This window comes from Homo sapiens, chromosome 20 (assembly GCF_000001405.40).
Source record: "Homo sapiens chromosome 20, GRCh38.p14 Primary Assembly".
NCBI classification, from domain to species: domain Eukaryota; kingdom Metazoa; phylum Chordata; class Mammalia; order Primates; family Hominidae; genus Homo; species Homo sapiens.
The window spans coordinates 4,030,263-4,047,586 of record NC_000020.11 but is presented as its reverse complement, the minus strand read 5'-3'; the positions used below and the strand labels follow the sequence as shown (position 1 = coordinate 4,047,586).

The 17,324-nt window shown below is 48.7% G+C and overlaps 4 annotated features.

Annotated features, from left to right (window-relative positions):
- Positions 511-1,011: an enhancer, noted in NCBI's record as "H3K4me1 hESC enhancer chr20:4027223-4027723 (GRCh37/hg19 assembly coordinates)". NCBI's record gives its function as "activates a minimal SCP1, AML or CMV promoter by ChIP-STARR-seq in primed H9 embryonic stem cells {active_cell/tissue: H9 hESC(primed)}" and the evidence as "EXISTENCE:reporter gene assay evidence [ECO:0000049][PMID:30033119]".
- Positions 1,012-1,512: an enhancer, noted in NCBI's record as "H3K4me1 hESC enhancer chr20:4026722-4027222 (GRCh37/hg19 assembly coordinates)". NCBI's record gives its function as "activates a minimal SCP1, AML or CMV promoter by ChIP-STARR-seq in primed H9 embryonic stem cells {active_cell/tissue: H9 hESC(primed)}" and the evidence as "EXISTENCE:reporter gene assay evidence [ECO:0000049][PMID:30033119]".
- Positions 9,594-9,643: an enhancer, noted in NCBI's record as "active region_17491". NCBI's record gives its function as "activates an Ori minimal core promoter by ATAC-STARR-seq in GM12878 lymphoblastoid cells {active_cell/tissue: GM12878}" and the evidence as "EXISTENCE:reporter gene assay evidence [ECO:0000049][PMID:35858748]".
- Positions 13,469-14,113: an enhancer, noted in NCBI's record as "OCT4-NANOG-H3K27ac-H3K4me1 hESC enhancer chr20:4014121-4014765 (GRCh37/hg19 assembly coordinates)". NCBI's record gives its function as "activates a minimal SCP1, AML or CMV promoter by ChIP-STARR-seq in naive H9 embryonic stem cells {active_cell/tissue: H9 hESC(naive)}" and the evidence as "EXISTENCE:reporter gene assay evidence [ECO:0000049][PMID:30033119]".

The following is a 17,324-nucleotide window of genomic DNA, read 5'->3' as shown; positions in this document are numbered from 1 at the left end:
CTCAATCAGAAACCATCTCTATTCCCAGGCACTCAAACTAGAAGACCTAAAAAGCAAACTTACTTTCCCTTAAATCTTCCCTCACCACCTAGGGACTCCTCCAGGGTGGCTGTCAAGGCCTCTTGACAGAGCGCAGAGATGACACATAAGTTCCATTTCAAGTGCCACCTCTGATCAATTAAGAGAAGCTACCAGGCTTCTGTATCCAGGCTTGGGGTATGCAGATATAATCAGTAATGTCTGCCTTTAACACTGGAACGGGTGAGCAGTGGCCTTCTGTCTGCCCCCACCGCCATGTCTCTAGAAGCAAATGAGTTCCTTCATGGTGAAGATGGCTCAATTTTTCATTCACATTCCAGAGATTGCAAAGCTATCTCTGTCTCTTGCTGAGCTACTTTCTTCATCTACTTGCCCCTTCCCAGACAGCAAGCCTATGCAGTGAGCATGGCCACCCATTTTATGGATGAGAAAACTGAGGTTCTGAGATGTTAAGTGGCTTTCACAGCATCACAGAATTTATAAGGATAAAACAGAGGTTTTTGAATCAGATCTATGTGACACCAAAGCCCCCACACTATATCTTTTCATAGAGAAGGCAGTAGTAAAGATCTGTAACCAAACGGAACAGCTCAACACTCCTCCTTTTTGTTAAGAGAAGAAGCCTTCTGCTGACTGGCGCAACCACCCCCCTCCACCATCCTTCATTGTCTTCTCTAGCCAGGTGGGATGGAAGGTTCTTTGGGGGCCAATGAGGAGCCTTGCCCCATCATGCAGCTGCCCCCAGCACTTTCTCTGCCAGGCCTGGGCACCACCATCTCTGCTGCAAACTCTCGTGTCCCCACAGGGGGCCCCTTGCTCTCATTCATTCACTGTCCCTGAGCAGCTGTGTCTCAGAGAGGGCTGGAGGCCCCCTGGGAAAGCTGGAGGCGAAATTCTAACTAGAGCAGCCATGACTGGGGCACTTCTAAACCTCCAAGTTCTGGAAAAACCCAACAGAGGCCTTCCCAGGGTGGTGACACAGCACTCGCACAGGCGGAGGCTGCAAATGGAGGCCTCAGAGTGCAGCCTAGATTTGAAGCCCACCGACCAGGCAGCCTGCCCACCAGGATTTGGCTCATGCTCTCTCCCAAGCAGCAGCTCAGGCCTTCGAGCACATTCCCATTGCTGCGAATCTGCACCCCTGCCCCAGAAAGCAGCGACTCCCTGCTCTGAGAATCCTTGGGGATGGGACTCATAGATTCAGCCTTTCCCAGCCACAGGTGTAGCCCTCAACCTCCCCTTGCCCTCCCTGGGTAGAGGCTCCTAGCCTGTGGCTGGTGCTGTTCTGTGGAATGAGGCAAGAAAGAAGTGGGCAAGCAAAGAAGGAAGGGGGCAAACCCAAGAGACCTTCCAAAAGGCGGGGAGTCTTCCCTCTCTGCAACCAGGAACCCCTCCCCAGGGAGGTCCTCACCCCTGTCAGCTACGGACAATGCGAAGATCCTGTGGGACACCTTTGAAGGCAGCTAGACCTGGGTTTACATTCCTCACTCACAGGTGTCTTAGGTCCTATTCTTTAGACTCAGAGCCCAGGATGAGGATTTGTGGAATCCCTGTGATTTATGGAGGAAATGATCTCAGGAGAAAGGGATGGAGGGAAGCAGGATGTGGCAGAGGAAGATGTTCAGCAGGGGCGTGGCCTCAGTCCAGCCTGGCCTCAGCCCAATCCACCGGGAGCTCTGGGTGTAAGCTGTCCACAGAATTGCCCCCTGAGATAAGCAGGACAGGCTTTTGTACCCTTGTGTCAGTCAGTCGTTGTCCATCCCTGGATGATGGGAGAAGGGAACATGAGTCACTAGGTCCTGGACAAGGACAATCCCATTGCCAGCGGAATCCTCCATGAAAGTTCTCAGATGTAAGTTGTTAGCCACTGCACCGTCACCAGCTGGGGAGGGGGACACTAGCTGGGAAAAGGGATCTAGATAGGGCACCAACATCACCTGTCACATCGCGTAAGATTCAGTTAACTCGTCTGTGAAACAAGCATGACACTTACCAAACAGATGTGTTGGGAGGGTCCACCTGAATCAGGCAAAGCACAAGGCCCCCAACACAAGGCAGGGCCTCAGGGAGCTACTGTTCGTACTGCTTGGCGAAGTCGTTTTAATAAGGAGGTTAGTTTTATGTATCAACTTGGCTGGGCCACAGAGCCCAGATATTTGATCAAACATTATTCTGGATTTTTCTCTGAGGCTGTTTTGATGAGATTAACATTTAAATCAGTAGAGTTTGAGTAAGGCAGATTGCCCTCCATAATGTGGGTGGGCCTCATCCAATCAGCTGAAGGCCTGAATAGAGCAAGGCTGACCTACCCTCATCCCCACCCTGAGCAAGAGAGAGTTCTACCTGCAGAGGGTTTTTCAGACTGGATCTGCAACATCGGCTCTTCCCTGGGTCTCCAGCTTGCCAGCCTACTCTGCAGATTTTGGACTTGCTGGCTTCCATAGTTGTATGAAGCAATTCCTTAAAATTAGTCTCTCTCTCTCTCATTATGTATTTATTCTACTGGTTCTGCTTCTCTGGGGAAATCTAATACAGAGGGAAAGAACACCAAGAGGTGGGTAGCCCAGGGCTCATGACATTGGCCCAAGGGCATGTTCCTATGCACCATCCAACTATGCTTGTAGGAAGTTCGTAATCCCCTCATTCACTACTTGTTCTAAAGTTGAATTCTTGGGAATCAAAATAGATCCCCACTCTGCCAGTGTAGCCTGGCATCCACCTGGGGAGTTTGCTCTCCAAATAGCCCCTTCAGGAACGTACCTTGTACCCAGGCACTGCCCACCAGTCCCCACCAGCCCTATCTCTCTGCAGCCTTCCTGTCCTAGCCTAAGATGGTAGGGACACAGAAGGGTGGGTCCCGGGGATGGAGGGAAGACCCAAAAGGGCGGCAGTTGCCAGAGCTCACCACTCCTGCCTACTCCCGGTAATCTCACCAGGGTGCTGAGGACTCAGGGCCATCTCAGGGGAACAGGGGGAATGTGAGCACCCTCAAATATCTCCCCCTCAATGAGCTCAGCTCCAAAATATTCTGTCCTTTCTTCCTGCAATGAGGGCTCCCAACCCTTCCATCCACCACCAGGACTAACAAATGCACCATTATGCCCCACCCTCGCACTCACAAAGTCAGCACATTAGACAGGGGGCAATAGTGACCCCACAGGAAGACACACTTAGAGGGGACTCCAGGTAGTTGGCTGGTGGAGGATATATTCTTAGGCTGTGAGCTTCCTAGTGTTTTTTAAATAGCTTTGCCGATATAAGTTATTATCTATTATCTATGTGACCTGAGAAACAAGGAAGTTCTCAGGAGTGTCTCGTCACCTCTTTTGGCTACTAGCAAAAGGCTCTGCACCCAAAAGGATCAAAAGAAAAATGTCTGAGCCAGTAGCTGCATCCCAGCTCTGTGAAAGGAAGGGGAAACCACATTACCTGAGTACCTACCTCCTATGAATGGGACTTTAAATATGGTGTTTTGTCAAATGCTTCTCACAACCACCCTGGGAGGGAGGGTAGGTATACGCATTTTAGAGATGAGGAAGGGGGCTGAGTCATTTCCACAAGGACACAGGACACTTCACTGGTGAAGTCAGAACCCAGCTCATTATGTGGCATCCAGTCCAAGGAAGGGGCATAATCAACCAGCAGCACCTCAGAAGAGGGTGTCCTGAGTATCTCATTGGACAGTTTGTCTCTGCCACTATCCAGGTGACACAGGCACTGGGCCCCTGGCTCATTAGAGTTCTCATTAGGACTTATCTTGTCAACTTTCCAGTTTATACATCAAGCTCCTAGAACTTTGGCAAATGGGAGTCAAGCCCTGGGAGTAAGTCATTGACTTCTGGGCATGCCAAGGCCTAAATTTTTTTAATTTTTTTAAACTCCTTAAATTGAAATATAATTTACATAGCTTAAGTGTACAGCTCAATAAATTTTTATTTATGTCTGACATCTATCAGACTAGTTTTGTCTCTTCTTGAATTTCATAAAATAGTGTCACATAGTAGGACTACAAATAGCCAGGGCCAAACAAAGGTAGTCTTTCATTCATATTATTGCTTGTATCAGCAATTTATCCTTTCTGTTGCCGAGTAGTGTTCCATTGTGTGAATGTACTCTAATCTGTTTGTCAATTCTCCTGTGGATGGGACCTTAGAGTTGTGTCCAGTTTGGGACTATTAAAAATAAAGATGCTTGAAACATTCTAGTACATGCGTTTCAGCTTTCAGTAGACTAACCACTAATTTCTTTAAGTTATATTCCTAGGAGAGGAGTTGATGGAATTGTGAGGTGGACAGGAGGGGACTGGGCCTTTCAGTCCTACTGTTCGTAGGTAAAGTGGGTGATATGGGTTGAATCATGTCCCCCAAAAAGATATGTTGAAGACTTAATCCCTGATACCTACAAACATGACTTTCCTTGGAAACAGGGTCTTGACAGATATAATCAAATGAAGAGAAGGTCATTAGGGTGGACTGTAATCCAATATGATTGGTGTCCTTATAAGAAGGAAATTGGACCCAGACACACACAGAAGAGAGAGCCACGTGAGACAGAGACACGCAAGGAGCATGCCACATGACAACAAAGGCAGAGCTTGGAGTGATGCTGCCGCAAGCCAAGGAACGCCACTCCAGAAACTCAGAGAAAAGCACAGAATAGGCCAGGTGCAGTGGGTCATGCCTGTAATCCCAGCACTTTGGGAGGCTGAGGCAGACAGATCACCTGAGTTCAGGAGTTTGAGACCAGCCTGGCCAACACGATGAAACCCCATCTCTACTAAAAATACAAAAAAAAATTAGCTGGGTGTGGTGACAGACGCCTGTAATCCCAGCTACTTGGGAGCATGAAGCAAGAGAATCGCTTGAACCCAGGAGGTGGAGGTTGCAGTGAGCTGAGATTGTGCCATTGCACTCCAACCTGGGCAACAGAGCAAGACTCTGTCTCAGGAAAAAAAAAAAAAAAAAAAAAGAGCATGGAATAGATTCTCTCTTAGAGCCCGGTTCTGCCAACACCTTGATCTCAGACTTCTAGCTTCCTGAACTGCGGGAGGATAAATATCTGTTGTTTCTGTCCACCCAGTGTATGGTACTTTGTCATGGCAGCCCTAGAAAATTAATGCAGTGAGTTTATTAGATATTGCCCCACGGTTTGCCAGAGTGCAAACCACTACATTTTTTCAGGGAAATCTGTGGATTGGATTCAGGAGGTTGGTGGCCACACCCACATACTGCCCTCCTGGGGATCTGCTTAAGCAGCCACCTGCTCTTTCCCAGGCAAATCCTTCTCTAAACCACCACCCTTGCCCTAATGCAGAAATAAAGGACTAGGGAGGGTTAGGAACTTGCCCAAGGTCACACAGCTGGCAAGCGGTGAGGCCAAGACTTGAACTCAAGTAGACCGATTCTCAAGCCCAGATGTTTATGACACTTGGGCTCTGAAAAGGATCCCCACCTGACACCACCCAAGCAGGCAGCTGGCGGGCACCTCCTCCCAGCCCCATCCCTGCTGGCTCGCCTCCCACTCCATGCTATGAGTCAGAGCAACCAGAGACTTTATGAGCCCAGGAATGGGCCAACTACCTGATAACCTGATTATGCAAAAAGCCACATGTGAAATTCCCGCCCTCATAACCACGTAATTTACAAGGAAATGAGTCCACCTTCTCCCCAGCCTTTGGCTGCCTGCCCTTCATGAAGGCTCAGTGGAGCTTTTCAGGCCAAAGTAGGAAAACAAAGAAGAAGGGCTCTATCCTGGCCCCCCTCCTGGTCTCTGAGAGCCCCCAACACTCGTCAGTCCACCTCCCAGACTGGAGTGCAGTGGTGCGATCACAGCTTACTGCAGCCTCACCTCCAGGGCTCAAGCCAGCCTCCCAGGTACAGGTGCGTGCCATCACAGCGGTTAGTTTCTATATTTTTAGTAGAGACAGGGTTTTGCCATGTTGCTAAGGCTGGTCTTGAACTCCTGGGCTCAAGTGATCTGCCTGCCTTGGCCTCCCAAAGTGCTGGGATTACAGGTGTGAGCCTCCGTGCCCAGCCTCCTTTCTGTCTTGGCCTCTGCATATTCCTCCAGGCAGTGGGGACCCGAGGAGTGGGAGGCTGGAAGGAGATTTGAAAAGGAGAATCAGGGACAGCCAAAGGGAAAAGGGAGAGAAGAGGATGCTGAAATTAAGAGATCAATAGCGGGGGACTGGGCCTTTCACCTCCTACTACTCAGAAGCTTGGCCTGAGACAAAACTCACCAAATGAAATAGCAAGTCTGTCCCCTGTGTCCTGGAACACCAGACCCAACAGTGAGGCTGGGTCCAGAGTGGGATGATGGCCACTGCTGACCAGTCCACAAGGCAGCTATCCAGCCCCTTTTAACGATCTCCTCTAGCTTTTAGGGTGAGAGCTTCTCATTTTTCTCAGATTCTCTCCAACCTCTGCCTCTATCATTGTTTCTTCTTTCCCTGTGCTCCTTAGGAGCATTTACCATGTGTCAGACATGGTGCTGGGGACAGAGAAATGAGTGAGGCCACACACAGTCCCTGCCTCCTGGAGTCTACAATTAAGTCTTCCATTTTCCTCTTTTTCCTGAATGCCAATGCTCCCTGTGGTTCAGTCTGCAGCATTCGTGTCCTCTCTCTCTCTCTCGCTTTCTCTTCTGAAAGCAAATATTTTTCCCTCTTTTTCTTTTTATGATCTTTGTTTTTAAAAAAGAAATTTAATGGATAAGTTAAATTTCCTCTTTCTCCCAGAGTTCATCATTCTCCTGATTAGTAAGAATATAGCACCTACTATGTGCCAGGCACCTGACACACATTAACTCATTTAATGCTTCAAACAAAGCAGGTAGGCACTATTGCACCATTACTTGCTCCCAGTACCTCCTTCTCCTGCTGCCCTTGCTCTGGATCACTGTGGGTGGTGTATACTTTCCCTACCCCACTGGAATGTGGGTGGAAGCAATATGCCAGTTCTGGGCCAAAGACTCAAGAAGGCATCATGTGCTTTCAGCAGCCACCCATGCATGTGACCTCTGCCCTGAAAAGAACAAGCCCTGGATAGTTGCTGGTGGAGACACGTGGAGCAGACATGAACCTAAGCCACTTCCTGGAGCCCAGTCCAGCAGAGCCACAGCCAACTCACAGGCTTGTGGATAGAAAATAACTGCTTGTGGTTGAAAGCCACTGAGCTTAGGGGTTGTTTGTTACACAGCATTAGGGCAGCAATTGCTGGCTGATACAATTGGCATTTCCCATTTAACACATAAGCAAGCTGAGGCCTGCAGAGGTTAAATAACTTCTCCAAGATTATACAGCTAGTAAGAAAAGGAACTAGGATGCAAATCCAAGCAATCTGGCTGCAAGTCCCACTACTCTATATTGAGTATTAGCATTCCCAAGCATGCTGTTACACTTTTACTATATATGTGTGTGTTTGTGTATGTGTGTATATATGTTTACTATGTTACATACATATATGTTTACTATATATACACAGATATATACATACATAAATGCATATATACATATATACACATATATATGTAAACGTATTGTTTTGCGTGTCTTTAAACTTTATATAAATGGCAACATTAGGCCCGGCACGGTGGCTCAAGCTTGTAATCCAGCAGCTTAGGGGGCCAAGGCAGGTTGATCACTTGAGGTCGGGAGTTTAAGACCAGCCTGGCCAACATAGTGAAACCCTGTCTCTACTAAAAATACAAAAATTAGCCGGGCATGGTGGTGCACGCCTGTAGTCCCAGCTACTTAGGAGGCTGAGGCAGGAGAATCACTTGAACCTGGGAGGCGGAGATTGCAGTGAGCCGAGATCATGCCACTGCACTCCAGCCTGGGCGACAGAGCAAGACTCAGTCTCAAAAATAAATAAATAAATAATACATAAATAAATGGCAACATTATATATATCATTTGGTAGCATGCTTTTTTCACTCAACATCATGCTTTTAGAGTTATCTCTGATGATACTCATAAATCTTGTTTATTTTACCTGCTGTATTCCATTACGTGAATAGATCCAACTTCCTATAAGATGCACATTTCATTTATTTCCAGCTTTTGTTTTTTCAAATTATGCTGCAATGAACATTCCTTGTCTCCTCATGCACATGCAAAGTTTCTCTTGGGTATGTGACTGGAAGTGGAATTGCTGGGTCACAGGCCATGTGTGTCTTCCTCTCTATACAATATTAGCAAATTGCTTTCTAAAGTTTTATTCCAATCTATAGCAGGGTGTGAGATTATCTGCTACTCCACATCCTTGCTATAGTAGAGGATACTGGTGCCCCACACAGATCCCCTTAACAGGCTGGTCCACCCCTGGCCCAGCTGCTGCATGTGTCAGCTGCTAAGGGCTCCCAGAAATCCCCTTGCTGGAGAATCACGCTTGGTCATGGGAGTCCCCCGTCTTGTAACCCCTGCATGATTCCAGGCCCACAGTGGACCTCTATTTATCTGTTTTGAATGGGATCCAAAGGGTAGAAAGAAGAGAGGGAAGCAAGAGAAAGATGCCGCAGTCCCCCTCTTCTTGCCTGGAGCCTCCCAAGCTCCAAGGCAAAGGAAGACAAGGGGAGAGGAAGAGGAGGAAGGAAGAAATGAAGGAATGGCTCCAAGGAGGCGGACAGTAGGGAATATACATTTCAAAGCCTATCCCCTGGGCAGGTGGGCTGGAGAGTGGAAATGGGCAAGCCTCCCCGGGCAGGTGATATCGAAAACCCCGTGTCATCCCCTGCTGGGGAAAGCTGATTCTGCCTCCATCATCCTCTTGCTGACTTACTCCTTCATCTCCTTGCCTTTCTATGCCTGTGACACCTAATTCCCTGAGTCCATTCATTCACCTTGTTTGTTCACTGTATGCATCTCCAGAGAATGTTGTCCCATGCAAAGTAGCAGTTCATTGTTTATTGAGAGAATTAAATGATGAAATTCACTTGGTACCCACAGGATTTTTAATAGGAGACAAAAGGCTTTATAGAAGTTCCAAATTAATAATTTTTCCCCAAGTGTTACCAAACCCTCCATTTATACTCATTGCCCACAGGCACTTCCAATTATGAAACCATAGCCCATTTTCCATCACAAACCTAGTTTCTCTCTTTTTCCTCTCCCTGCTCACAGAGCCCTGCTCCCTCCTGTCGTTCTCTGCGATCCTAGTGCCCTGGGACAGGCTCCACCCGCCCTCTGGGCTGACTGCAGCTCCAGGCCGCACTCCCTTTCGGCTTCATGTGCACATTCTTGGCAGCCATTAAAACTCCTCTCTGAAACCACAGGCTCCACCCTCACCCTGCCTCTCTGCGGCCCTACCTCAGCCAAGGACTTCCTCAGAAGTAGACCCACCCCCCTGTCTTCTCCAAGCTGCTGTCACTGTCACCATCATCTCACTTCCTCTACCTCCTTCCCCCAGACACACACGCACATGCACACAAACACACACAGTCACGCATACACACACCACATGCTATGTAACCACTGAAATATGTCTTCCTCTGTATTTCTGCATTTTAGTTTATAGCCCCTTGTACCACCTTCCCCTTCTCACAGCACTGGCTTCCTCTGGGCAGATGTTGCCAACTCAGAGCCCCTTTTATTCTGAACCCTGGACCATGGGCATGTGGTGGACAGAATAATGATACCCTTCAAGATGCCCACATCCTAATCTCCAGAAGCTGTGAGTATATTACCTCACATGGCACAAGGGACTTTATGATGTGATGTGTTTAAGAATCTCAAGAGCCTGTAATACCAGCCAAGGCGGGCGGATCACTTGAGGTCAGTTCAAGACCAACCTGGGCAACATGGTGAAACCCAGTCTCCGCCAAAAAATACAAAAATTAGTCGGGCATTGTGGCACATGCCTGTAGTCCCCAGCTACTCGGGAGGATGAGGCAGGGGAATCACTTGAACCCGGGAGGCGGAGGTTGCAGTGAGCCGAGATCATGCCACTGCACTCCAGCCTGGGCGACAGAGCAAGACTCCATCTCAAAAAAAAAAAAAAAAAAAGGAGTGGGAAGGCCAGCACAGACAGAACCACCTTTGTGCTTTGGAGAATGCCCTCAGGCAAAGAGATGTAGTTTCTAGTTACAGAGCACACTGTAGTCATGAGTCCCACGTACTGAGGTGGGTACACGTTCAGTCAGCAGTGCCTCCCTCCAGAAAGGAGGCATCCCCCTACCCTTGGCCTCCATACCTTTCCTGCCCAGAGTGGAAAGATGATGGGCTCTGGGTTCTAATTCTGACACCTGAGTAGGAGTCTGTGGAACCCCATCTCAGTCTGGGTTTGTCTAGTGTTTTATCATGATGAGATTGATGTAAGAGATGATACTGTGCTCAACTCAAGGCATCACATCAGGGAGTACCTAATGTCAGTATCAATTATTACTAGTAATACTAACCTTGATCACTTGATTAGGGTGGTATTTACCGGATTTCTCCACTTTTATATTTTTTCCTTCTTAAAACGTTTTTAAAATTTATTTATTTTAAATTTTGTTTTATTCTTTATAACAATAGAGATGAAGTCTCACTCTATTGACCAGGCTGGTCTCAAACTCCTGATCTCAAGCAATCCTCCCATCTCAGCCTCCCCATGTGCTAGAATTACAGGCATAAGCCACTACACCCAGCCATTTTTTCCTTTATAATTAATAAAAATACTTTTAGCAACTATCAGTGAATCTTACTGCAACCATTATTACTATAGGTTTGCCTAATGGTGCTTTTCTATTTCCCTCATTTTTAAACCTAGTTTTAAATTCTTTTACACTGCAGTTTCCTCATTTGTAAATGGGGATGATCATTATACCTACCTCACAGGGTCACTACGGGATTAATTAACACATATGAAAGTGTATGGCACATCACAGGTGCTTAGTCAACGTGCTTCTTTTCCCAGCATCACTCAGGGGAAGACCTGGTTCATCAGCCGCCTGCCTCAGACTCTTTGCCTGCCCTGCTTCCCTTGTTCATTGGTCCTCTCCAAGCCCTGAGGGGGATGCTTAACGTCCACTGGAAGGGATTCCAGAGTAAAGCGTCCACACCCACACCACAGGGAGCAGAACATCTCCCCGATGAGTAAACGAGAGAGTGGTCCTGTGGCTGATAGTGCCCTCTCACCTGATGGGCAAAGTCAAAGATAATCTGTCAAAGGAGGAAGCTATCCTTGACTTAGCACAACACAGAGACCAAGAGAAGAGATGGAGGAAAGAAAAGACTTCTCAGGAACTGGCCTCCAGCCTCAGCTTCCCAAGTAGCTGGGACTACAGGCATGATTGCCCAGCTAATTTTTTTTTTTTTTGTATTTTTTGTAGAAACAAGTTTGCTGGGCAACCAGCAAGTTGCCCAGGCTGGTCTTGAACTCCTGAGCTCAAAGCAGTCCACCTGCCTCGGCCTTCCAAAATGCTGGGATTACAGGTGTGAGCCACTGCTCCCAGCCAAAGTAAGATATTTTGAGAGAGACAGAGAGAGAGGATATTCACATAACTTTTATTACAGTGCTATATCAATAGGCTAAAAAATAATAATCCTATAATCATATCAATTGATACAGAATAAAGCATTTCACAAAATCCAACACTCATTTATGATTTTTTAAGAAGTCAATTTTTTAAATTGGGAAACCAACATAATAAATCTAAACTTATTGAAAAATGAAATCAGTAACTAATCTTCTCTGTTTCATTCCAACTTTAGTATATATGCTTCCAAAGTAAGAACTCATTTACGATTTTTTTTTTTTTTTTTTTTTTTTTTACAGCTATCACGGGTGATTTTAATTTTCAACTTTAGGCTTCCATTTTCAAATTCCACAATGAACACATAAGGTGGAGTTCTGGTTTCAACACACACACACACACACACACACACACACACTCCTGCCTCCTAGTGGGCAGAGATTTTTGTTCACAAAGAATCTTCTGCCAAATGCCTCCGAGGTACACGTAGGTCTTGGGGAGCCCATGGGCCAACTGTTTTGTGGGCACTCCTGTCTTCGGTAGGCAGGTTCTTCAGAGCTTTGAGACCTCCACAACCTTGCGCTGCTCTCCTGGGGCAGCCTTCATGCAGGGGTGTCCTGAGGACTTCCCAGGGCACCCAACTTCAGCACTGTCATCCAGTGTGCGTTTCACGGAACTTTTTTTCCCAGGAGAAATAACTTTATTTGAACTGAGAGCTGGAGAATGAGACAAGGACTTGAGACAGCATGAGTAGAGGTGAGGTTCCAAAACGGCAGTCAGAGCTCATCCACCAAACAGACTCCACTTTCCCAGCAACCTTGCAGTTAGTGCCACCAACAAAAGGTCCACTGGGAAATATATTTGCCACAAAATTACCCAAGTATGCCAACATTACAAAAAAGATACAGATTTTTCATCGTAATTAAATTTCCACAAAACCCCCAAATCACAAGTGTTTTGTTTTTTTTTTTTGAGACGGAGTTTTGCTTTTTTCGCCCAGGCTGTAGTGCAGTGGCACAATCTCGGCTCACAGCAACCTCTGCCTCCCAGGTTCAAGCAATTCTCCTGCCTCAGTCTCCCAAGTAGCCGGGACTACAGTCGCCCAAAACCACATTGTGGGGAAAAGAAAGAGAGATCAGATTGTTACTGTGTCTGTGTAGAAAGAAGTAGACATAGGAGACTCCATTTTGTTCCCTACTAAGAAAAATTCTTCTGCCCTGAGATGCTGCCAATCTGTAACCCTTCCCCCAACCCTGTGCTCCCCGAAACATGCGCTGTGTCAACTCAGGGCCAAATGGATCAAGGGCTGTGCAGGGTGTGCTTTGTTAAACAAATGCTTGAAGGCAGCATGCTTGTTAAGAGTCATCACCACTCCCCAATCTCAAACCACTCCCCAATCTCAAGTACCCAGAGACACAAAACACTGCAGAAGGCCGCAGGGACCTCTGCCCAGGAAAGCCAGGCACCGTCCAAGGTTTCTCCCCATGTGAGAGTCTGAAATATGGCCTTGTGGGAAGGGAAAGACCTGACCGTCCCCCAGCCCGACACCCGACACCCGTAAAAGGTCTGTGCTGAGGAGGATTAGTAAAAGAGGAAGGAACGCCTTTTTGCAGTTGAGATAAGAGGAAGGCTTCTGTCTCCTGCTCATCCCTGGGCAATGGAATGTCTGGGTGTAAAGCTGATTGTATATTCCATCTACTGAGATAGGAGAAAACCGCCTTAGGGCTGGAGGTGGGACATGCTGGCAGCAATACTGTTCCTTAAGGCAATGAGATGTTTATGTATATGCACATCAAAAGCACAGCACTTTTTTCTTTACCTTGTTTATGGTGCAGAGACATTTGTTCACGTGTTTACCTTCTGACCTCCCCACCATTATCCTATTATCCTGTCACGCCCGATAATGAGCAATAAATACTAAGGGAACGCAGCAGCCGGGGCTGGCGTGGATCCTCCATATGCTGAATGCCTGTCCCCTGGGCCCCTTTTTCTTTTTTTTTTTTTTTTTTTTTTTTTTATTGATCATTCTTGGGTGTTTCTCGCAGAGGGGGATTTGGCAGGGTCATAGGACAATAGTGGAGGGAAGGTCAGCAGATAAACAAGTGAACAAAGGTCTCTGGTTTTCCTAGGCAGAGGACCCCGCGGCCCTCCGCAGTGTCTGTGTCCCTGGGTACTTAAGATTAGGGAGTGGTGATGACTCTCAACCAGCACGCTGCATCTGTTTAACAAAGCATCTGTTTAACAAAGCACATCCTGCACCGCCCCCAATCCATTTAACCCTGAGTGGACACAGCACATGCTTCAGAGAGCACAGGGTTGGGGATAAGGTCACAGATCAACAGGATCCCAAGGCAGAAGAATTTCTCTTAGTACAGAACAAAATGAAAAGTCTCCCATGTCTACTTCCATCCACACAGACCCGGCAACCATCCGATTTCTCAATTTTTTCCCCACCCTTCCCGCCTTTCTATTCCACAAAACCGCCATTGTCATCATGGCCCATCCCCAATGAGCCGCTGGGCACACCTCCCAGACGGGGTCGTGGCCGGGCAGAGGGGCTCCTCACTTCCCAGTAGGGGCGGCCGGGCAGAAGCGCCCCTCACCTCCCGGATGGGGCGGCTGGCCGGGCGGGGGGCTGACCCCCCCACTACCCTCCCGGACGGGGCGGCTGGCCAGGCAGAGGGGCTCCTCACTTCCCAGTAGGGGCGGCCGGGCAGAGGCGCCCCTCACCTCCTGGATAGGGCGGCTGGCCGGGCGGGGGGCTGTCCCCCCCACCTCCCTCCCGGACGGGGCGGCTGGCCGGGCAGAGGGGTCCTCACTTCCCAGTAGGGGCGGCCAGGCAGAGGCGCCCCTCACCTCCCGGACAGGCGGCGGCCGGAAAGGGGGCTGACCCCCCCCCCACCTCCCTCCCGGACGGGGCGGCTGGCCGGGCAGGGGGCTGACCCCCCCTCCCCCCTCCCGGACGGGGCGGCTGGCCGGGCGGGGGGCTGACCCCCCCACCTCCCTCCCGGATGGGGCGGCTGGCCAGGCGGGGGGCTGACCCCCCCACCTCCCTCCCGGGCGGGGCAGCTGGCCGGGCAGAGGGGCTCCTCACTTCCCAGTAGGGGCGGCCGGGCAGAGGCGCCCCTCACCTCCCGGACGGGGCAGCCGGCCGGGCGGGGGGCTGACCCCCCCACCTCCCTCCCGGACGGGGCGGCTGGCCGGGCAGAGGGGTCCTCACTTCCCAGTAGGGGCGGCCGGGCAGAGGCGCCCCTCACCTCCCGGACGGGGCGGCCGGCCGGGCGGGGGGCTGACCCCCCCACCTCCCTCCCGGACGGGGCGGCTGGCCGACCCCCCCCCCCACCTCCCTCCCGGACGGGGTGGCTGCCGGGCGGAGACGCTCCTCACTTCCCAGACGGGGTGGTTGCCGGACGGAGGGGCTCCTCACTTCTCAGACGGGGCGGTTGCCAGGCAGAGGGTTTCCTCACTTCTCAGACGGAGCGGCGGGGCAGAGACGCTCCTCACCTCCCAGACAGGGTTGCGGCCCAGCAGAGGCGCTCCTCACATCCCAGACAGGGCGGTGGGGCAGAGGTGCTCCCCACATCTCAGACGATGGGCGGCCGGGCAGAGACGCTCCTCAGTTCCTAGATGGGATGGCAGCCGGGAAGAGGCGCTCCTCGCTTCCTAGATGGGATGGCGGCCGGGCAGAGACGCTCCTCGCTTCCTAGATGGGATGGCGGCCGGGCAGAGACGCTCCTCACTTTCCAGACTGGGCAGCCAGGCAGAGGGGCTCCTCATATCCCAGACGATGGGTGGCCAAGCAGAGACGCTCCTCACTTCCCAGACGGGGTGGCGGCCGGGCAGAGGCTGCAATCTCGGCTCTTTGGGAGGCCAAGGCAGGCGGCTGGGAGGTGGTTGTAGCGAGCCGAGATCACGCCGCTGCACTCCAGCCTGGACACCACTGAGCACTGAGTGAACGAGACTTCATCTGCAATCCCGGCACCTCGGGAGGCCGAGGCTGGCGGATCACTCGCGGTTAGGAGCTGGAGAGCAGCCCGGCCAACACAGCGAAACCCCGTCTCCACCAAAAAAAAACCGAAAACCAGTCAGGCGTGGCGGCGCGCGCCTGCAATCGCAGGCACTCGGCAGGCTGAGGCAGGAGAATCAGGCAGGGAGGTTGCAGTGAGCCGAGATGGCAGCAGTACCGTCCAGCTTTGGCTCGGCATCAGAGGGGGGCGGGGGAGGGAGAGGGAGCTCATTTACGATTTTTAAAAACTCAGCAAGTTAGGAATACAGGGGAACTATCTCAATGTGATTAAAAAAGCATCTACAAAACCTATAACTAACATCATACATATTGGTGAAAGACTGAATGCGTTCCACCTAAAATCAGGAACAAAGCAAGGATGTCTGCTCTAACCACTCTTACTCAACATATTAGTGGAAATTCTAGCCAGTGCAGTAAGACATGAAAAAATGCATACAGGTTATAAAGGAAGAAATGAAACTGTCATTATTTGCAGAAGATATGAGGATCTACATTGAAAATTTCAAGAAAATTCCCACCAAAAAAACCTCTTAGAACTAATAAATGAGTTTATTCACAACGCACAACATCAGCATACAGTTTTATATGCTGGCATTGAACATACAGAAACTGAAATTTAAAACCCAATAACGTTTTCAATCACTCAAAAAAAAAAAAAGAAAAACCTAGGAACAAATCTAACAAAACATATATAGGATCTGTATGATAAAAATCGCAAATGCTGGTAAAAGAAATTAAAGATCTAAATAAATGGCTAAACATACCTTGTTTACATTTTGGAAGAGTCAACATAATAAAGATATAAGTTTTCCCAAGATTTATCTCCAAGTTTAATACAATTCCTATCAAAACCCCCAGAAAGGGTTTTTATAGACACAGGCTAATTTATTCTAAAATTTATATTAAAAGGCATGGACCCTAGAATAGATATAGCAATTACGTAAAATAAGAATAAAGTAAGAGGAATTTCAAGAGTTATTATATAGCTACAGTAATCAAGACTGTGCAATATTGGCAAAGGGATAGACACACAGATCAATGGAACGGAATAGAGAATCCAGAAATAGATCCACACAAATAAGCCAACTGATTTTTTTACAATTTTTTTTTTTTGAGACAGGGTCTAACTCTGTTGCCCAGTCTGGAGTGCAGTGGCATGACCATGGCTCACCGTATCCTTGACCTGCTTGGCTTAAGCGATCTTCCCACCTCAGCCTCCTGAGTAGCTGGGACTACAGGCACACACCACCACACCTGGCTAATTTTGTTTATTTTTTATAGAGGTGAGGTCTCACTGTGTTACACAGGCTGGTCTGAAACCCCTGAGCTGAAGAGATCTTCATGTCTTGACCTCCCAAAGTGCTAGAATTACAGGTGTGAGCCCCCTGCCCAGTGCCAACGGATTTTTGACAAAGGTGCAAAAGCAATCCAGTGAAGGAAGGATAGCCTTTTCAACAAATTGTACTGTAACAATTGGACATCCAAGGGCAAAACAAAACAGTGAACTCCAACCAAAACGTGACAACTTATACAAAAATTAACTCAAAATGAAACATGAACTTAAATATAAATGCAAACATTTTAGGAAACAACTTAGGGGAAAATCTTCAGGATCTAGGGCTAAGCAAAGAGTTCTTAGGATTAACAGCAAAAGTGCAATCCACAAAAGGAAAATTGGATAATTTAAACTTCATCAAAACTTTTACTCTGTGAAAGACCCTTTAAGCTGATGAAAAGACAAGCCACAGACTGAAAGAAAATATTTGCAAACCACATGTTTAACAAAGAACTATTATCTAGAATACAT